At 44.0% G+C, this 20,340-nt stretch overlaps 4 pseudogenes and 1 further gene; all 5 read right to left on the bottom strand.

Annotated features, from left to right (window-relative positions):
• The window catches only part of IGL (immunoglobulin lambda locus), an 896,838-nt gene that overhangs the window by 842,173 nt on the left and 34,325 nt on the right, over positions 1–20,340 (bottom strand).
• On the bottom strand, positions 508–971 carry IGLVI-63 (immunoglobulin lambda variable (I)-63 (pseudogene); annotated as a pseudogene). The gene is given in 2 exon segments: positions 508–815; positions 926–971. Coding segments are annotated over 2 exon segments (354 nt in total).
• On the bottom strand, positions 5,059–5,555 carry IGLVIV-64 (immunoglobulin lambda variable (IV)-64 (pseudogene); annotated as a pseudogene). Its single transcript is given in 2 exon segments — positions 5,059–5,388; positions 5,513–5,555. Coding segments are annotated over 2 exon segments (373 nt in total).
• Positions 10,030–10,516, bottom strand: IGLVIV-65 (immunoglobulin lambda variable (IV)-65 (pseudogene); annotated as a pseudogene). Its single transcript is given in 2 exon segments — positions 10,030–10,347; positions 10,471–10,516. Coding segments are annotated over 2 exon segments (364 nt in total).
• Positions 19,184–19,495, bottom strand: IGLVV-66 (immunoglobulin lambda variable (V)-66 (pseudogene); annotated as a pseudogene). The gene is given in 1 exon segment: positions 19,184–19,495. A coding segment is annotated over 1 exon segment (312 nt).

The raw sequence follows: 20,340 nt of genomic DNA, 5'->3' as shown, positions 1-20,340 counted from the left end.
CAAAAACCACATGCAGACCTGGGGGTGGCCATGTGAGGACACAGTGAGAAAAGAGCCATCTGGAAGCAAAGGAAAGAGGGCAAAGAGAAAACCAAACGGGGTGGCACCTTCATCTGGTCCTTTCAGACTCCAGAACAGTGAGACAGTACATATCTGTTGGTGAAGACTCCAGTCTGTGGTGTGTTGTTGTGGAAGCCCCAGCCGACTGATTCACCCATATGTACTCCACCACAGGGCAGCTGGCCTCTGGCATTCAGTACCAGCTGCTACCTCTGAGAAAAGAGCACATGGTATTGTTGCCAAAGAGTGAATTTGGGGCAGATATTGAGAGGGTGAGGACACATTCCCTAGAAAAATTACCCTGAAGAAGTTCTCAGGCCCCAGTTTTAGGACAAACAAGTGAGAGAACACATTGACTTAGCTGCAGAGTAGGGGGTGCATGGGAGAGCTTCATGGCTGGGCACACTGTGTGTTTTGGTCTGACTTACTTCAACCCGGAGCACTGTGAAAGCACTCAGGCTGTTTTTGTAGAATTGGCAGTGATAATCAGCCTCATCTTCAGGCTGTAGCACAGTGATGGTCACAAAAATGGAGTTGCCAGACTTGAAGCCAGAGAATTGTCAGGGACCCACAGGTGTCACCAATTGTTTTTATAGATGAGGAGTTTGGGGGTCATTCCTTGGAGCTGCTGGAACCAGTGTACATCACACCAATAACCAAAGTGGAGCTGCTTCCAGTGCAGGAGATGGTGACCCTCTGGCCCAGAGCCCCAGGGACTGAGGGTGACTGAATCAGCGCAGATGGGACCCAAGGCCCTGAAAGTGGGAAAGACACAGACATGGTGATTCTGGGTCTATAAATAAGAGGAGAAAGCAGCTCTCCATGGGCTCCCCAGGGCCCCTTCCGTGGCCCCATGTCCAGTCACCTGTGCAGTGAATAAAGGGGGTGAGCAGGAAATGGGACCAGGCCATTCTTGAGATTGTCCTGAGTCCTGCCTTTTTGCCCCACAGTTGAAGTAAAGCTTTTCCCAACTCTCTCCTTTTCTCTCTTTATACTCTGAGGCAGGGAGGATCTCCTCATGCAAATGGGAACTTTTCTGATCCCACCCTGAGCTCTGGATCAGACTCTTCTGCCTGAGGGCGCCATAGGGATAAGTATGAGTAGTGCTGTGAGCCGTTCAGGGGTGAGGAGATCACAGCTGTGAGCCCTGAACAGAGAGCACCAGACAGGGGAAGTGGCTGGTCTCAGCTCCGAACACCCCCAGACCCTCAGGAACAGGCTCCAAGTGCCTTCTGCTGTCCATGCCTAGACACACCACTTTATAATACGCTAACCATTTATGTTTAGTATTATTGTGGAAGTAAAATAAACTCCAATTACCTTCAGAAATAGGGTATTTTTGTATATATAATATTTTTTGAAACAAAAATAGTTGAAGCTGTCCAAGTTCAATTTCAAATACTGTAGAGACTTCATCTTGAGTGTGACGTTGGAAATGAATATATAATTCACTAATACCCTAGGATCTCCTGCTGTTCATTTACACGGGAGCAGCAGGCACTGAGGACACCATACACCCAGTCTGTGCAGTGACTGGGGCTGATTATGGATCGGTGTCCACTGGGGATATACTGTCCCTCAGTTCTTTGTTTGTTTGTCTGTTTTTGTGTTTTTGAGACAGAGTCTTGCTCTGTCGCCCAGGCTGAAGTGCAGTGGCACAATCTCGGCTCACTGCAACCTCTTCCTCCCAGGTTCATGCTATTCTCCTGCCTCAGCCTCCCAAGTAGCTGGGACTACAGGTGCCCCCCAACCATGTCCGGCTAATTTTTTGTATTTTTAGTAGAGACAGGGTCTCACCGTGTTAGCCAGGATGGTCTCGATCTCCTGACCTCGTGTTCTGCCCGCCTCGGCCTGCCAAAGTGCTGGGATTACAGGTGTGAGCCACCGCGCCCAGCCTACTGTCCCTCAGTTGTGTATCTCCCAGAATGCACTGTGCCACACCAGCCTATTGTGACCCTCAGTGGAGACCCATGAATTTAACTCAATGTCATCTGTCTGCAGCGGGTGCAAAGCCTGCAGGTTTTCAGGTGTAGGGATACCAGCAAAGGATTAGATTTCAGAGCCAGATGGGGACTTGTTCTAAATTACTCTTACTGTCTCTCAAATCAACACATTTTAGTCTCCTCAAATTCTGTTATTGCATTTAGGTGGCATTACTTTCAACTAGCACACATGAGAGTTTTTGTATAAAATATGTTGTTTATTTTACAAAAGCATATAAAATAGAAATGTTGAACAGTAACTACAAGAGATATCATAGATCAACAGTATAAACACACATAAACATTTAACATTTATGTTTGATTCCTTTCCTTCAAATTTTGTGTTCCTTCAACATAACAGTTTTATAATAACACTTTCTATAGAGAAAGAAGGAAAATAAATCAAATGGAAATATCACACATTGTTTCGCCGTCATCTGCCCAGGTTAGTGCTGGATGCCATACAGCATGTGCTTGTAGTATATAGCTTCCAGCCCTGCACCGTTACGGCCAGGCTCCAGGAGAGTCAGCTCAGTAGGAGGTAGGAGAGATTCCAGAAGCCAGTCTACATGAGATTGTTCTGGGAACAGAAATATTCATATAAATGACAAATCATATTTTTAGCAAACTTATACTTGTATTCCTACCAACTACTGGCTATTGTTTGAAGTCAAGTCACACTTTTTAGCACTGATATAAATATGATTTTGAATGTTCTTGGATTTAGTACAGCCACTATGGAGAACGATTGGAGGTTCCTCAAAAAACCTAAAAATAGGGCTACCATATGATCCAGCAATTTCACTGCTGGATACATATCCAAAATAAAGAAAATCAGTATATCAGAGAAATAGCTGCACTCCTATGTTTGCTGCAGCACTGTTTAGCTAAGATTTGGAAGCAATCTAAGTGTCCATCAACAGATGAATGCATAAAAAATGTGGTAAATACACACGATGGAGTACTATTCAGCCATAAAATAGAATAAGAGTCTGTCATTTGCAACAACAGGGATGGAACTGGAGATCATTATATTAAGTGTAATAAGCCAGGCCCAGAAAGGCAAACATCACATATTCTCACTTTTTTATGGAATCTAAAAATCAAAACATTTGAAACTCATGTACATAGAAAGTAGAATAATGGTTACCAGAGGCTGGGAAGGTAGCAGGGAGTAGGAGGTGATGTGGGGATGGTTAATGGGTACAAAAAGTAGTTAGAAAGAATGAATAGTACCTACTATTTCATAGCACAACAGGATACCTATGGTCATAATAACTTAATTGTACTTTTTTGAATTATGTAAAGAGTGTAATTGGATCATTTGTAACACAAATGATAAATGCTTGAGAGGATGGATACCCCATTCTTCATGATATAATTATTTCACATTGCATGCCTGTATCAAAACATCTCATAAACCCCATAAATATATACACCTATTATGTACCCACGATAATAAAAAATAAAAAAGAACAAAAGGATAAGACATTTATCATATATTTCATCATAAATGCATTATGAATTCAATGTGACTAATGAGTCATCTTGGCCTCTGACAGCTTTCCTGGGGCTGCGTTTTCTCTCCTGAAGGACTGTGCTAATGCAAGCTGCCTGCTCTTTACTAGAGCATTAGTGAGCTCTATTGCAGCATATCCAGTATCTATCTTTCTCTCCCACAGGGTATCAGGGAAGCTGCACTGGAAGCCTCGAGGCTCTTTCCCTGATTGGGGCATCTAACATACGGCTCAGCACCCCTCATACCTGCTGTCCCTCCAAAGTTCATGCTTATTCCCCACCGACCTCACAAATGTCCTGTTCTCAGCCTAAATCCTAGAGGTCAGAGGTCCAGCATGGGTTCTACTTGTGAATATGCTGAGGAATTTTCACATCTATGTTCATAAATGAAATTGCTCTATTTTATCCAAAACCCAGTGCTCATGTGGGTCCTTCAGCCCAGGTGCAGGAAAGTCATTCTTCAGGGAGGTCACTGCTTATCCAAGTGTGTAAGAGCCAGTGGACTGTTACTGTCTCTTGTTTAATCCTTGTGTGGCCTGGTAATCCTGTCATCTTGGGATCCATCCAACAGTGCCCCCTGCTTGCCTCAGATCCCAGGTCTTCCAGCACCCCTGGTACTGTGCAACCCTCCTGGAAGGGCATTCTGACTGTTGGCAGATGGATCTTTCTGATATCACTACTCAGGGCAGCAGAATGAGTAAGTCTTTCTGTGGACAACACTGCAGCTGGCACATTATTTCTTCCAGGCCATTAATGACCTCTGGGCAGCAAATTACAGGATGTGTTACAGGATTGTAAACCAAAAATAAAATTCTAAGACTCCCATCCATCTGAACAGACCCCTCCTTTTGGCCAAGGGCATTCCAAAGTTAATCTGAAAGAGAGTTCAGGTCATCTTGGGAACGGGGAGCCAGATATGCCTCCTCATTTTTGGAATTTCTGAGAGAACAGACTTTTTACATCTGATAAGAAAGATTTACAATCTATTCTCTCTGCAGCCTGCTACCTGGAGGCTTCCTCTGAGCAACAAAACCTTGGTCACTACAATGCCTTAATTTAACCCAGGCATTCCTTTGGTTCTAAGTCTTTAGACAATAATTTAACTCTTTTAACCAATTATCAAAAAGACGATCTTTGGAGCCCCACTACTTTGAGTTGTGCTGCCTTCCTGGACTCAACCAACGTACATCTCGCATGTGTTGATTGATGTCTCATGTCTCCTTAAAATGTATAAAACCAAGTTGCAGCCTGACCACCTGGGGTACATGTTCTCAGGATCTCCTGAGGGCTGCGTTGTGGGCCATTGGTCACTGATATTTGGCTTGGAATAAATGTCTTCAATATTTTACAGAGCTCGACTCTGTTCATCGACAGTTCCTGTGAGCTCGGGATATCTCACTCATCCCACACAAGTGATATAAGTTATTTTAAGATCTAAATTTCATCAGAGAACAAGACTCTGAGCAGGCTGAGATTTTGTCCCACTTCCCCACCTGTGTGTGTCAGCATGAGAAGCTCTGCTGTGCTCGATCATACAGTAATAGTAAGCCTCATCCTCAGACTGGAGATCAGATATGAGCAAGAGCCCTTTATTGGACCGGCCTTCCATTAATCCAGAGAAGTGCCTGGGGACCCCGGAGCCCTGGTCATGAAGTGAATTTTGGTAGTGGCTCAGGAGATACTGGGGAGGCTCCCTGGTTTATGCTGGTACCAGTATATCCAGTAGAAATCAGCACTGAAGCCACTGCTCAGGGTGCAGGAGAGTCTGGCTGATCCGGAGGTGCAGAGAGGGAGGGCGGCTGAGTCAGCACAGGCTGGGAGAGGGAACCTGCAGACACAGATGCACATGGGAGTTGGGCCACCTACCAGCATAAAGTTGCTGTAAGATTTTAGCCAGAGGGGACTGGTGAAGCCTGAGGGACATGCCCTGGACATGGGAGGCCTGTGCCTACCTGAGAATTGAGAGAGAAACAGCAGGAGAGGGGCCCAGGCCATGGTCAACACAGTCCTCCTGAGGTCCACAGCCGTAGTGGGCTGCCTCAGGCCTCTTATCCCCTCCACTGACCTCACAGAGGAGGAGTTATGGACCCAAATGTGTCCCCCACATTGCCTGCCTCTACCTTACCCTATGTATTTATTCAAGTCCTAGGGTCTGGTGGAGGGGGGAGTCTGGCAGGCCAGACCTGGGAGGAAGTGGGTGCTGGGACCACACCCAGGGAGGACAGAGCTGCTGAGTCAGGCTCAGTGAGGGCAGGGTCCACTGCCCAGCCCTGAGGAATTTGTGGGGTGGGAGGGGTTGGCACAGCTGTGGATGCCCACTGGGCAGACCTACAGTGTACCCTGCTGCTCTCTGTCCAGACTGCATTCTCTCAGTGGAAATCATGTATGTGGTGTTGGCCTGGGAGCCTGGTGAGTATCAGTCCAGAGGCATTTATGGGCCATGCCCTGGTCATGCCCCTGATTACTGACATGAACAAACAGACTTTTTCAGTAAGTTTTTCTTGGATTACTAGAAAGGCATGTGCAAACTATCACCCCCATCCAATGAAAGGAGGCTGCAGGAAGTTGGGAATGCAGAGGGCTCTGGGAGCAAAGCCCTGAGCAGCTCTTTCCACAGGGACCAGGGAAGGAGGCGACTGTGACTTGGCTGTCACTGGGATGTGGGGTCCTGCTCTGGGACTAGCAGTCAAACAACATTACTAGGGAGAGATAGGACTTTGGAAATGAAGAGACATTTTAAATGCCAGATTGGATTCAAATGTCCTCACCTGACTTGCCACTCACACTTCACTTGTTCAATCTTCTCATCAATGATGTATTCTGTCATCCCCTTAGGAATTCATGGCATGTCTCTGTGCTTTAGAGTGAGGGGCTTGGCTTGATTCACTATCGGAGGTTGTTTCAGGTTGTGAACTGGGGGCAGAATAGATGAAACTGACACTTTAGAAAGACATCCTTTGGTGTCAGGCTCAACAAAGAGCCTGAAGGCAGCCAAGCAGGAGAAGGGGTGTCGGGTGGGGTGATAGCTGATCCCAGGGATCTGGAAGAGGAAGAAAGTGAGAGATGCCAGGGGAAAAAACCCATGGGATGACTGTGTCCCTTGATGGAGTGTGAGAGAGAGATAGGGATGAAGCTGAGTGTTGTAGATGGGTTGGTTAGGTGGGTTTTATCGTCATTAACTGGCATGCAGGATGAGAGAGAGACAGAGAGCTTCTCCTGGGAGCTGATGGGGCCAGGCCACACTGTCCACCCAAATCTTCTGCTTATTCCAGTGCAGGAGGAGGGGACTGTTACTTCCAGATGATGGGGCTGGCTGAGTGAGCACAGACTTCAGGCAGGACCCTGGAAGGGAACGTGGGGCACACAGCTCCTGGCACAGAGCCTGACACAGGAAGGCACAGTCTGTCTTTTATGATGATGACTGATGGGTATTGGCGCATCCCTGCTTTGACATCTGGGGAGCCTATACTGTCTCCTCTGCTGATACCCACCTGTGCACTTTCTCGAGAGAAAAAACATATATCAATCATCAATAATAAAATGCGCCTTGATAACCTCTCTACTCATTGCTGAAATTTTTACCTAGTGTCTTTAAGTAAGAAAATGTTTCAATATTTGTTCAAATTATCTCCTGTATTACTTGCTGAATTTTATAATTATTTTTCTATAGATATGAATGAAGTTTGTCATTTTTAGTGATACCAGAATAATAAACATTCTGCACTATTTTTAAATTGCATAAGAAGAAATATACTTGATTTTATTAATTATAAACTTGATAATTTTATTATTCATTCCAATAAATTTTTAACAATGTTTTTATTTTATTCATATATAGTTACCATTAAAATGTTAACACATTTATACAAATATTTTTTGCCATTCTAATATCCTTTCTTATTTCTTAGAAATAAATTTCCACCACAGAGAAAAATATAAGACGTAATATCAAAAACAGAGTATATTAAGAATGTTTAAAACCTTCTAAAATATGACTTCCAAGTAATTTTACACAGCAGGTTGTCTATTATGTGTTTCATACTAACAGATCTATTCAAGCAATTCTCTTTCCTTGGGATTAAAGGTAGGTTTGGCATTTTTTTCAAGAAAGTATTTTTACTCTGTTTCTGTAGTGTGGAATTTTACTTCATTATAAAGTGATTTCTTCTGTGTGTCATTAAAATAAATCAAACCAGAAACTACATCCAGCTCTGGGAAACATTACATTTTATTTTGTTTATCTCTGATGCATTCTATAAGGTCTTTGCTATGTGTGTCTATGTGGATACTCTTCACCAAAACAAAACAAAACAAAACAAAAAAAAAAGATTCTTCTGGAGTAATTTATTCTTAAAATGTATAAGAACAACATGTTAAATGCTGGCAGAACTAAGAGTCCTTAGCTTGACTCTCCATCCTAGCACTCACAAAATTTACTTCTAAGCTCACTAGACACAAGTTCCATAAGGATAGAGTCTGTTTCATTCATCAATGTATACCCAGCACCTGACATAGGAGAACATGGCGCAGAGTGGGTGTTCGATAAATATTTGTCAATGATTAAACAACAGTTCTAACCAGTAAGTGAACAGAAGCACATGACTTTGAATAAAATGGCATGAGATAGCAACTGTTTCATTATGCAAAAACAGGAGTTTTTATACAAATTCTAGGATTATGATAAGTAAATCAAAAATTAGATAAAAATTATTTCCTCCAAAAACAAAGGAATTCTCATAATGGAGAAATAAGAAAAGCCCCTGCAGGGCAATTGACCAGCAGGGAGAGATACAAAGACCTGTGAGCACAGGGCAGGGTCCACCTGCAGTTGGCAAAAGCAGGGAAGAAGGCCTGCAGGAGCCTCAGGAGCCTGTGTCTGGGTCATGTTTCAGGACAGTGAGGAGGAGAAGACCCAGGGAAGGATGGAGACACCCATAACCCTGATCCTTAGGACCCAAAAAGAAGGCAGAGCTGCTTCAAATCCCTTGCACACATTTATATCCCAAGGAGAGATGAGGCTGAGATGGGCATTTATATGTGTAGTAGGAGGTAGATCACAGTACCCAGACGTATGGCTAGTATTAGGTAGGCCAAAAACCTGAGATGTCAAAGACCTGAAAGCATAGATCAGGGTATACAAGACGTTCCCATAAATAGTGGGCACCATTGCTGTAAGACAAACCCACACTCTTTCTGAGACAGGCCAAGGCAGCTATTGGAAATAACCCTTGATTATGTAGAAAAGGATCTTGGGTTCTCTACACAAAAATGAAAGATGCGGGTTCAATTTCCAACCTTTGGAAAGACAATCAGGGACCCTCATATCACACTGGTGCCCTCTCTTATAAAGAGCTTTCTGAGTCCTCATCCTCCAACAGATAACAGGTCACAGTGTCCTTCCCTGGGGTGAAGAACAACCAGAACCATGTCACCCCAGGGGCGCACTGCAGGTGACAGCATAATTTCAGCTCAGCAGCACCCAATGCCAGGCCTATTGCACCCACACTCTGCCCATCAGCTTCAGATATGTGAGTTCTGCTCCTGGTCTATGCTCTTCTGACTAAAGCTGTCCTCCCTTGGCTCACCTTGGTCACTCAAAATGACATCTGTGTTCCTGGATTTGGCAGCCGCCTTCCTACTCACCCCTTTCTTAAATACAGTTAGATCCCATGGCAGCTGAGAAGGATTATCCCAGGTCTGTTGTTTCATTGATGTTTTCTGTTACAGTTTTCATTTCTTTGTTGAGATTTTTTTATCTCCTCATTCCCTGCAAACCTATTTTTACTGAAGACCTTACAATGATTCCTTAGATAACTTTGGAAAGAATTGTCATTATAAAAATTATAATCACATTGAGTTTTCCAACTACAAACAAGGAATATCAGTTATTTTAAGGTTTTTTTGTAATGACTCTCAACGTTTTATAGTTTTCAGTTTAAGACTTTCCATTTTTTAATATTTACCCTTAAATATTTTATATTGATGTTATTATAAATTATATTCTTTTTATTTCAAAATCTGTGATGGTTTGTTGCTAATATAGAGAATACAATTCCATTGTGAATGCTGGTATTGTATCCAATGCCTAGATTGAAGCTCTGGGACCAGAAGCATCTCTGAGTCACTCCTAGACTCTGAGCCGGGCATGGCCCGAACCACTCTCTTTTGGTCTCCTCCAAAGTCTCAATTTAGAGAATTTTTGTCTCTGAGCAAGGGATTTCTGCCTGTGAAAACCAGAAAGAAATGAGAAGGTATGAGCATGAATCAATATGAAAGTGGAATTGAAGAAAATAAAGTCACATTTTCAGATCTACTTGTCTGAAAAAAAGAATCAGGTGCTGGTTGAAGATCTAAAATATAAGTCACCCAGTGAGATAGACTTTATTAGAGCCACCAGCAGGAGTGACTACACCAGGCCAGGAGATCAGAGAAGAGGTTTTTGTAACCTCCCAGTGGGTCTGGAGTGCTGACTTGGAGCTGCTGTGACACGTACAACAGTAATAGCCTCACCCTCAGGCTTCAGCCCAGGAATGTACAGAATCCCTGCATTGGCTAATGTATCATTGGATCCAGAGAAGTGGATGGGAACCCCAGGGTGCTGAGTGATATTTGAGTCTGAGTAGTATCTCAGGAGACACCTGGGACGGCTGCCTGGCTTCAGCTGACCACTATATTGCAAAGTTACCAACTCTGAAGCCACTGCTCAGGGTGCAGGTAAGTCTGGCTCATGCTCCTGGAGATGCAGAGAGTGAGGTCATCTGAGTCAGCACAGGCTGGGAGAGGGAACCTGCAAGCACAGACACTCATGGGGGCTGGGGCAGGAACTAGAGATACATGTCTTGGGGATCTGAGCCAGAGAGGCTGACGCAAGCTAAGGAGCTAACCCTAGACACCTAAAACCAGTTCTCACCTGAGCAATGAGAGAGGAACATGAGGAGCAGAGGGGTCCAGGCCATGGTGGACACCGCCTCCTGTGGCCCCACAGAGGAAGCTGCTTAACTCAGGCCTCTTTTATCTTCTCCAGTGGCCTGAAAAGGGAGGATCTGTCCACACAAATTTGTGTATCCTCCTGGTAATCTTTGTTCCACCCTAGGAAGAGCTGAAGTCTGAGCATGATTCTTTAGATATGGTGGGTTGGTGGGTGAGATTCAGCGTTTGTCCCACGGGAGGAGTAAGTGAGGAAGCAGCTCCTGCACCTTCCACAGACCTGTGAGTAGGAGACTCTACCCAGCCCAGAGAAGACACAGCTGTGGTATCTTCCTCAGTGAGTGCAGGCTCCATTGCCCAGGGATAACAGATATGTGGGCACCACTGTTCAGAGCTTGGAAAGACCCAGATTTCCCCCTGCTGCACACTTCAGTCTTTCAGTCAGAATCATGTGAGTGGAGTTGGCCTGAGTGCTGGGTCTCTGTCAGGTCACAGCATCCATGGACCACACCCCTGCTCTGTCTCAGGTAACTTATATTCATAACCATCCTTTTTGATTGAGGGATTTCTAGAATAACAGGAACAGGAGAAATGAAAAACATGACAATTGTTCATTGTGAGGAGGCCGCAGTAAGGGGAAAATGCGGAGGGCTCTGGGAGCAAACACCTGAGCAGCTCCTTCCACAGGGGCCAGGGAAGAAGGCAACTGTGAACTGGCTCTGAGTGGAGAGTGGGGTCCTGCTTGGGGACAAACAAAGCAAACACTATTTCTAGATGTAGTGCATCTTCTAGAAAATATAGTGATATGTACAAACATTGAGACATCAAATAGTGTGAGGTGCTGGGGAACGGCAGAACTTCTCACAATCCTAGATCTCTCTCATCTGTTGGCTGATTTTTGGCCAAGACACACTATGTATCTCCATTTTGTCACTTTTTCTGCTGCAGATGACTTTTCCCTGCCAACCCAGCACAGTGAACAGATAAGTCAGAAGAGTCTGGGAGCAGGACCCTGAAAGATGGATGTGATGTCGACTTTCATGGTACTTAAGAAAATGCGTCTTCTCATTTCAAAAATATTTATGAAAAGATCAGCACAGGCCAGCAGAGGACCAGGCATAGGGATATAAAAGGTGAAAACATAAAGTTCACTGTGGGTAAGTCAGGGACAGTGAGAACAGGTAGGAGGATGGAAAAAGAGAGGAGAGGTCCCTACTGATGACAACAGCATTTGTCATGGAGAATGTGAAATTAACTTAATTAGTTCTCCTTAATGCCCTGGCCATCCATGTGAGGACTGACTGATGTTTTTGAGGTAGGACTTCCTACCAGTTCAGGCTCTGTCTTTCTCCCTCTTCCTTTGCTGCCCAGGTGAAGGGGTTTTCCAAGGCCACATTCACTGAGGAGCTCAAAAGTGTTACTCTTTCTAGTTTGACCATTTTCTGTTGAAGGCCAAGACTTCTCTCTCGTCCTCAGAGAGTGAAACAAAATAGGGGAGGGGACTGTTTACATGATTCTACCATTGATAGACACTGGCAGACGAGCACCAAGGACAATAAAGAAAATCATACCCCTCAATTTGAGGAATTCAGTTTTGAACAATCAAGATTAGAAAGTGGCCCATGTGTTTTGATTCATTTATATTTAAATATTTACCCAAGGAAGATGGATAAGACATAGCGCATACAGAATTCCTGTAGGGTATTAACAATGAAGTCATGGAGTATAAGAAAAAGGCCAGGCCCAGTAAGCAATCCACTGGAATCAGAAACAGGGAGGTGTCTGCCATGGTCCCATCACATCTCACTGAAAGCAGACCTCCAGGCCTAATTCCACCCACTCTGCCACCTCCATTCCCCTCTCTCGATGCATCCAGTTTCAATTACTTCACATCAAATACTACAAAACTTAGCAACTGCAAAGATGTGCAATCCCACAGTTTCTGTGGGTCAGAAACCTGGGAGCAGTTTAGCAAGGTGGCTCTGGCTCAGATAGGCTCATGAGGTTGAAAATAGGATTTCAGTGGGGGGAACTAAAGCCATGAGAAGACTTTACCAAGGCAATAGAATCAACTTACAGTTTCACTGAGCCACAAAGCTGGTGGCAGGAGGCCTCAGCTTCTTGCTGCATGAAACTCCCTGTGGGACTACTTGAGTGTCCTCACAAATGGCAACTGGCTTTCCCCAAAGCAAGTGATCTGAGAGAGCAGAACGCAAAACTCAAAGTGTATTATGGCCTGGCATCAGTCATTTTCTCAATATCCTATCAATTGTACTAGTGATCCCTTTTCAATATGTACAGGGATGTGAGTGCTAGGAGACAGAGATATTTAGGTATAACTTGAAGTCCAGCTGCCACACATGGTAAATTCTTAGAAAACACAACTCTGAGGTCACAAATGCCTCAGATTGACACAGAGTGAAGCAAACTCTATATGTCAGCAAGACCATTGAATTCCCACATGTCCCCAGAGAATAGGGGCCTTGTGTGCAGAATCTTTGGGATCTTTTTCAGTCTGCGTGTCCAGATATCACTTTTCCTTTTATCATCATCATTTCAGTGGACATAAACATGATGTATTAGAGTTGATTTAACAGTATCATGATTCACAGGATATACAAGATAGTCCATATAAATATTCTTATAAATGGGCCACTTCTACCCTTGAACTCCTTGCAAAGGGTAATGAGCCAATAGCTGCCTCCTGTGACTGATGGGATGGAATGGAAGTGCAGTGAGGGGTGTCAGCCCTGGCTTTGGGGAGTACAGCCAGGTAGGAGGTAGTACAAACCGTCACCTGCATGTGTGACCCACAGGTACAACCAGAGAGGAGCCAGCTAGTGGGGAGGCATTGTCCTCCTACCTGGACTCCCACAGTGGGTGGGTGAAGCAGTTAACAGGCGATGCTCTGTGAAAAGGCACAACAGTGCCTGAGTTGACGGACACCATAGCAGTGATTTAACTGTGAGCCTCATCTGCTGGAAGATGTAGCTCTGGGTGAGCACCTTGCACTCTACAGCTCTTGGCAAAGATGTCAAATCTAATGTATTGTTTGAACTTCACCACAAGTGAAGGAGGGCATGAGCAATCCTTGTAGGAAGTGGAGTGAAATGAAGCTCTCAGAAGTTAGAGGCCAGCCCTGAACATCACACAGGTAAGGTGTGTTAGGTTCTGTCTTCCTCCAACCCGTATGTATGTTTCAGGTGAGCAAGGATCACCAGTTTGCTGTCTAGAAATATTAGTGCGAGGAGTGGATGCTTGAATGCTTGCACAGGACAAGGCCTTCTGACTTCTCTACGCATCTTGTGGAGGGTCCAGGCCCATATTCTAGACAAGGAAGGAAGCGGATGGAAAACAGTAAATGATGAGTTACTTTTAGGGTCTCCCAGAAAAGAGGGAATGAGCAAGTAATTGGTGAAATATGCTAGTAATCTCCTCAATTATCATGCCCTAGTTTCTTTCCATTTAAGACTTCCTCCCTTACTTCACATTTTTTATCACAAAATTTTACTGTAAGCAGCAAGAATGAATGAGGTTATACTTTTAATACTTTGCTTGGAAATATTCTCAGCTAAATATCCAAGTTTGCTGCTCACCTGTTCTGCTTTCCATACAATTGCATGAAACAATCCAGCCAACCTGTTTTCCACCAAAAAACAATGATCCCCTTTCCTCCGGTTTTCCCACAAAAGTCAAAAGAGCGCTCTTAATTCCCTGTGAACTCCCATCAGTGCACCAGGAGCTCCTTTACTGGATGTATTTCTTTTATCTTCTTTTCTTTCTTTCTTTTTTTTTTTTTTTTTTTTTGAGATGGAGTCTCACTCTGTCACCAGGCTGGAGGGCAGTGGTGTGATCTGTCTGGACTTACTGCAACCCCCACCTCCCAGGTTCAAGTGATTCCCCTGCCTCAGCCTCCTGAGTAGCTTGGACTGCAGGCATGCACCACCACACCTGGCTAAATTTTTTTGTATTTTGGTAGAGACAAGTTTTCACCATGTTGGCCAGGATGGTCTCGATCTCCTGACCTTATGATCTGCCCTCCTTGGTCTCCCAAAGTGCTGGTACTGGCTGTATTTCTACTTCCAGTCTGTAGATGTATAATTAGGTATTTGCTAAGAAAAATGTAACTAGACCAGGCACAGTGGCTGATGCCTGTAATCCCAGCACTTTGGGAGGCTGAGGCAGGCAGATCATTTGAAGTCAGGAGTTGGAGACTAGCCTGGACAACATGGTGAAACCCCATCTCTACTAAAATTACGAACCTTAGCCGGGCATGGTGGCGCACACCTGTAGTCCCAGCTACTTGGGAGGCTGAGGCACAAAAATCGCTTGAACCCAGGAGGTGGAGGCTGCAGTGAGCCAAGATTGTACCACTGCAATGCAGCCTGGGCAACACAGCAAGACCCTGTCTCAAAAAAAAAAAAAGAAAGAAAAAAAAGAAAGAAAATGTAGCTTTTTCGCTACCATGCTTCTGACTTCCTACTGAGCCCATCCCAGCCAAGTCTTTAGCAACCATATCTGCATTAACACCATGCTCAAAGCAATCTAGGATTTTTCTAACATGCTTTCCAAAATTCTGCCAAACTCTATCTCTTGTCTGCTTCCAAAACTATTTCCATATTTTAAGTATTTTTTTTAACAGCAACACTCCTCTTCCATTCTTTTCCACATATTTTTCTGTTCTTGTTGTGACAAATTACTACAAACCCAGTGGCTTGGTGGGTGAATATATATTTAGCGAGACAGGGAGGAGAAAATGGGGTGATATCTGGGGCTGGATATTCCAGGACAGAAGATGTGGGTTGGTTATCACCTGAGAACTAGGCACTTTGTCCTCTACAGATTTGGAGCTATTAATGTCTAGATCTAGATCTATCTATAGAAATAGATATTTATTTCATAAAAAGGAGAAAGAGGTGCCAGGCTTCTGTTACAGACAGCTTTCATGGAGTAGAGATTGGACTTAGGTTAGGGTTCACACAAGGAAGGGCAATGTAGGTCTGATGGAACAGGACAGCGCCATAGAGCCAGAGGACAGATCTGGGGGATGTAGAGGATTTCAATCTCCAGCTTCAGTGACCAACTGGAGGTGCCATACGTATACAGTAGAGAAACAAATTAAACTCTGAGGCTTACAATGTCTGTGACCAAGAAAGTGGACATGCCATAAAAGCAGATAAAATATACTATAAGGGGTGCATGTTTGGGAAGATGAGATAACCCTTCCAGCTTGGAGATGAATATGGTATCTGCTTTAGCAAGAATATGTCATGTTTATGAAAAGTGTTTCAAGATAAAACTATTCTCCAATCTTTCTTGCCTTGAATAAATAATTTTTTCAGAGAGTCAATGAATAACAGTCACATCTACAGTTATCACCCATTCCAACAGGTGATTATAAAATAAGTGTTTACCTAAAATATATCTTGTTCAATTACTTAGTAACTGGAGGCTCATCCTTTTCCATGGTCTCTGCACAAACCCATGGGACCCAGTCCATCCTGCTGGTCACCTTTCCAGCACTCAAGTTCATATTCCTCTCTTGTTCTCTAAACACAGAAGTCAACATTCTAATTTAATATATCCCCTTGAATCAATTCACAACCCAAACTCAAAATACACATAAAGCAGTAAAAATCACTTTATTTTCCTCAGATCTTTTTCTCTTACTGAGAATTCTATTTAGGTGAATTCACATATTCGTTCAACAAACATGGTATTAATTGGCTGTTTGCGCTAGGCTGAGTCCTAGGGTTTGTAGATACAGTGGTGAAAAAACAGGACAGAGAGAAAAAATATGAATCTTAGTTCCCAGTAGGGGAAGGCCTATTCATTAAATTAGAGCCCCCTGCAAGGTGTCATGTTTTGCCCAACCAAATCCAAAGGGGCCTCATGCAGAGCGCAGGGACCTTGCTCTGTGTAGCTGCCTGCTTTTCGGTGTCTTGCTCTGAAAGTCTCAGCCATCTATGTTTTTCTGACTTCTCATCTGTGTGTTCTGAGCTGTGTAAAAAGCTCACGATTATCTTGGTCACCACCTCCTTCTGGGCCAAAAATTGTCTCCAAAAAAAAATCTGTGGTCCAGGCGCGGTGGCTCACGCCTGTAATCCCAGCACTTTGGGAGGCCGAGGCGGGCGGATCACGAGGTCAGGAAATTGAGACCATCCTGGTTAACACAGTGAAACCCCGTCTCTACTAAAAAAATACAAAAAATCAGCCAGGTGTGGTGGCAGGCTCCTGTAGTCCCAGCTACTCGGGAGGCTGAGGCGGGAGAATGACGTGAACCCGGGAGGCGGAGCTTGCAGTGAGCCGAGATAGAGCCAGTGCACTCCAGCCTGGGCAACAGAGCGAGACTCCGTCTAAAAAAAAAAAAAAAAGATATACTTAATGTTAAATGACGAGTTAATGGGTGCAGCACATCAACATGGCACATGTATACATATGTAATAGACCTGCAGGTTGTGCACATGTACCCTAAAACTTAAAGTATAATTAAAAAAAAAAAATCTGTGTTGGCTGGGTGCAGTGGCTCACACCTGTAATCCCAGCACTTTGGGAGGCCGAGGTGGGCAGATCAGTCAGGAGTTTAAGACCAGCCTGACCAACATGGCGAAACCCCCTCTCTACTAAAAGGACAAAAAAATTAGCTGGGCATGGTGGTGAGTGCCTATAATCTCAGCTATTCGGGAGGCTGAGTCAGGAGAATTGCTTGAACCTGGGAGGCAGAGTTTGCAGTGAGCGGAGATCACATCACTGTACTCCAGCCTGGGCGACAGAGCAGGACCCTAACTCGAAAAAAAAAAAGTGAAGAAAAAGAAATCCGTGTCCACTGCAGTGCTCATTTGCGTGTTAGGGTCCTTTCTCTGAGGTTACATAATCAAGTTATCCCTGTTGGCCAATATTCACTGTCTGGAAATAGTCATTACATGCACTCGATTATGTCTTAAAGTGTTGTTTATGGTGTAAGAACTCCATCTATTGCATCATGGCAGGAAACAGAAATTGACACACTTTTGGTGTAACCGTCTTTGTCTATTTGACTTTTTAGAACTTAGTAAGCTTTATCCCACCATGACGCTTTCCATAAGTTTTATATCTATGAGTTCCGATTAATGCTGATTAAGGTTTATTGAACTTTTTAGGGATTGAGTATGTTTCTTTTTGTCAAATTTGGGAAAGTTTTGGTTACCATTTTTCAATTACATTATTCTGTTTCTTTTCCTCACTCTTACCCTTCTGGGCCTTTCATTATGTGTATATTGGTACACTTGATGGTGTCAAGAGGGTCTTTAGGTCCTGCGTATTTTTCCACCCTTATTTCATTCTATTCCTGTAATAGGATAATATCAATTAATCTATGTTTATTTCAATGACTCTTTCTTTTATATCTTTTATTAATATTCTTTATTTGGAGATACATTCTTTTCATGCTTTTTTGAACATTTTTACATTTTTAAAATTTCTTTGAGCAAATGGAGAAATAATGGAGTTGAAGTATTGGTCAAATAAGACCAGTGTTTCTGCCTCTTTGAAAATAGTTTTTGTCAACTTTTAATTTTTTTGTTTTTTTAATGTTTTTTTCTTTGTTATTTTCCGTTATATATGGCAATATGTTCCTGTGTCTTGAACCTACCTCATTATTTTGCTTTGACAAATGGAAATTTTAAATAATATAATGTGACAGTTCTGGAAATTAGAACTTTTTTGTAAAGCGTTTTGGTTGATGTTGTTGCTGTTTTTGCTATAGTTGTTATTGTTGATGATGTATTGTTTCATGGTTTTCCAGGAGGGTTCTGCAAGTCTGTATTCTTTGCATGTGAAGTTAATGAAGTCTCTGCTCAATCACATTAGTAGTTTCCTAATTACTGGACAGATATTTCCTGAAGCAATACTTCCTTCAGCTTTTGCCAAGGACTCCATGAGATGTACTTATTTTGAAAATAAATAAATAAATAAGTAAATAAATGAAATCCTTCATTCCAGATCAGGGTTACCAGGATGATATTCATGGCTATTTCTATTCCTCCTTCTTTGGTAACTTTCTGCTTATCTGTTGTCATCTTCAGTGTGTTGGAAATAAGTTCTCCTCCTTATCCCTTACTCCCAAATCCCAGGCACTGAACACCTGAGAATACCTTCAGAAACCCCCAAAGGGTTTAAAGCTTTTCATCTCAATCTCTATAAATCTTTATTCTATTTTTATTTATCTGGAATATGCTTTCTAGCATGTTGATAGACTTCTAAAATTTATTTAAGTCAGAAGTTTTCTTCTAAGATTGATCATTTAAATGATCTCAATAAGACAGGACTGAGGTATGCAGCTGAGTCCCAGTGTCTGAATATGAAAAGGAGAATTTCTTTGCACCCCCCTATATAGCCACAATACACCAGACCAGCAGGAGGAGACAGGCTCTGTTGTAATATTTGCGCAATAGTTACAGATCAGAGTGCACTCCCTAGAGGCCTGGCCTAAAAAGCTGTTTCCAAGGGAACTTGAAGCAGGAATCAGAAAATATCTGGCTCTCTACTCGTAAAATTAAAGTACACACACACACGCATTCACACACACACACACATAACATATTTGAGTATGCAGGTCAGCAGACACTGGTTCTGAGAGCCATTTTTCAACCTTGGTAGCAGAGTAGAAAAACAGTTTTTGTCTCATTTCCCCATTTATCTGTGCTTTACCCAAACGGCACACCAATGCTACAATCTGTACCACAGATATAGTCAGCTCCATCCTCAGACGGGATTGTAGAAATGACACTATAGTGGTCAGCTCCAGTCCTGGAGACTGAGAACTAGTGACTGGGAATCCCAGCCCCCTTGGTGTGGCTTCCATCACTCTTAAGCTGCATCAGGTACTGATGGGCCTTCCCTGGCTGCTGCCGAAAGCATTCAATGGCATAGCTGCTATGCTGACTGCTGAGTGTGGGCGAGCTTGGCCAGGGCTCCCAGGGAGGCAGATGCAGAGGTCGACTGAGTCGGCACGGGCTGCCAGAGGGATCCCGAAAACACAGACAGCCATTATACACTGAATAAAGCAGAACAGGGAAGGACAGTTCTGGCATGAGTTGGGAGGTGGTGTCAGTGAGCTGGGGGATCAGGATGCTTTGTGCTGTCCTGGACTGTGCAGTGAAGGAGGACAATGAGGAGGAGGAGTGGGGTCAAGGCCATGGTGCAGACTCCCCGGATCTCTGCAGAGGAAGCCACGCGGCAGGTCTCTCGTGTTCACCCTCTAGCCTTAGAGGAGAGAGATGGGCCTTTCATGCAAATGTGCTCCTCTTCCCCTGCCCAAGCGTGCCCCTCCCTGGGCCCGTGTGCAGTCCCAGTGGCTGGGTCATTTCTGGGAAGAGTAGGCCTGGGATGTACCTGGACTGAGGCTCCCAAAGGGCCCAGAGAGGACCCAGCTGCTGGCCCCAGTGAGCCCTAGGCAGAGGCCAGGGCCAGGTATCATTTCCCAGCTAAGAGCCCCACAGACTCTAAGTGCCAGCCCCACAGCGCCCCCTGCTGCCCAGGCCCAGGTCCATCGTGCCTGTGACCAGAGGCCAGGTGGACCCAACAGAGTTGCCATCCTCCACCGGGGCCTTGACCAGTGCTGGCTCCCTACCTCAGGGCAGAGTGAGGTTCCCTCTCAGGGCAGTTTTCTACATCATCTCAGTCTTTAGTTTTCCACACTGGCCTCCTCAATGGGAAAAAAGACACACAATTCACCGCACTTTATAAGGAGTCCCCAGGGGAAGTGTGTCTCAGGTACACATTCTATGTGGTACACATATCTATTCTGTAATGGAATAATTTCATTGACTAGAACAAAATGTTTTAATTCTGCAGCAATGGAAATGTTGTGAGT

Source organism: Homo sapiens, chromosome 22 (assembly GCF_000001405.40).
Source record: "Homo sapiens chromosome 22, GRCh38.p14 Primary Assembly".
Lineage (NCBI taxonomy): Eukaryota > Metazoa > Chordata > Mammalia > Primates > Hominidae > Homo > Homo sapiens.
The sequence above is the reverse complement of the archived record's forward strand: the minus strand, read 5'-3'. Positions and strand labels throughout refer to the sequence as shown.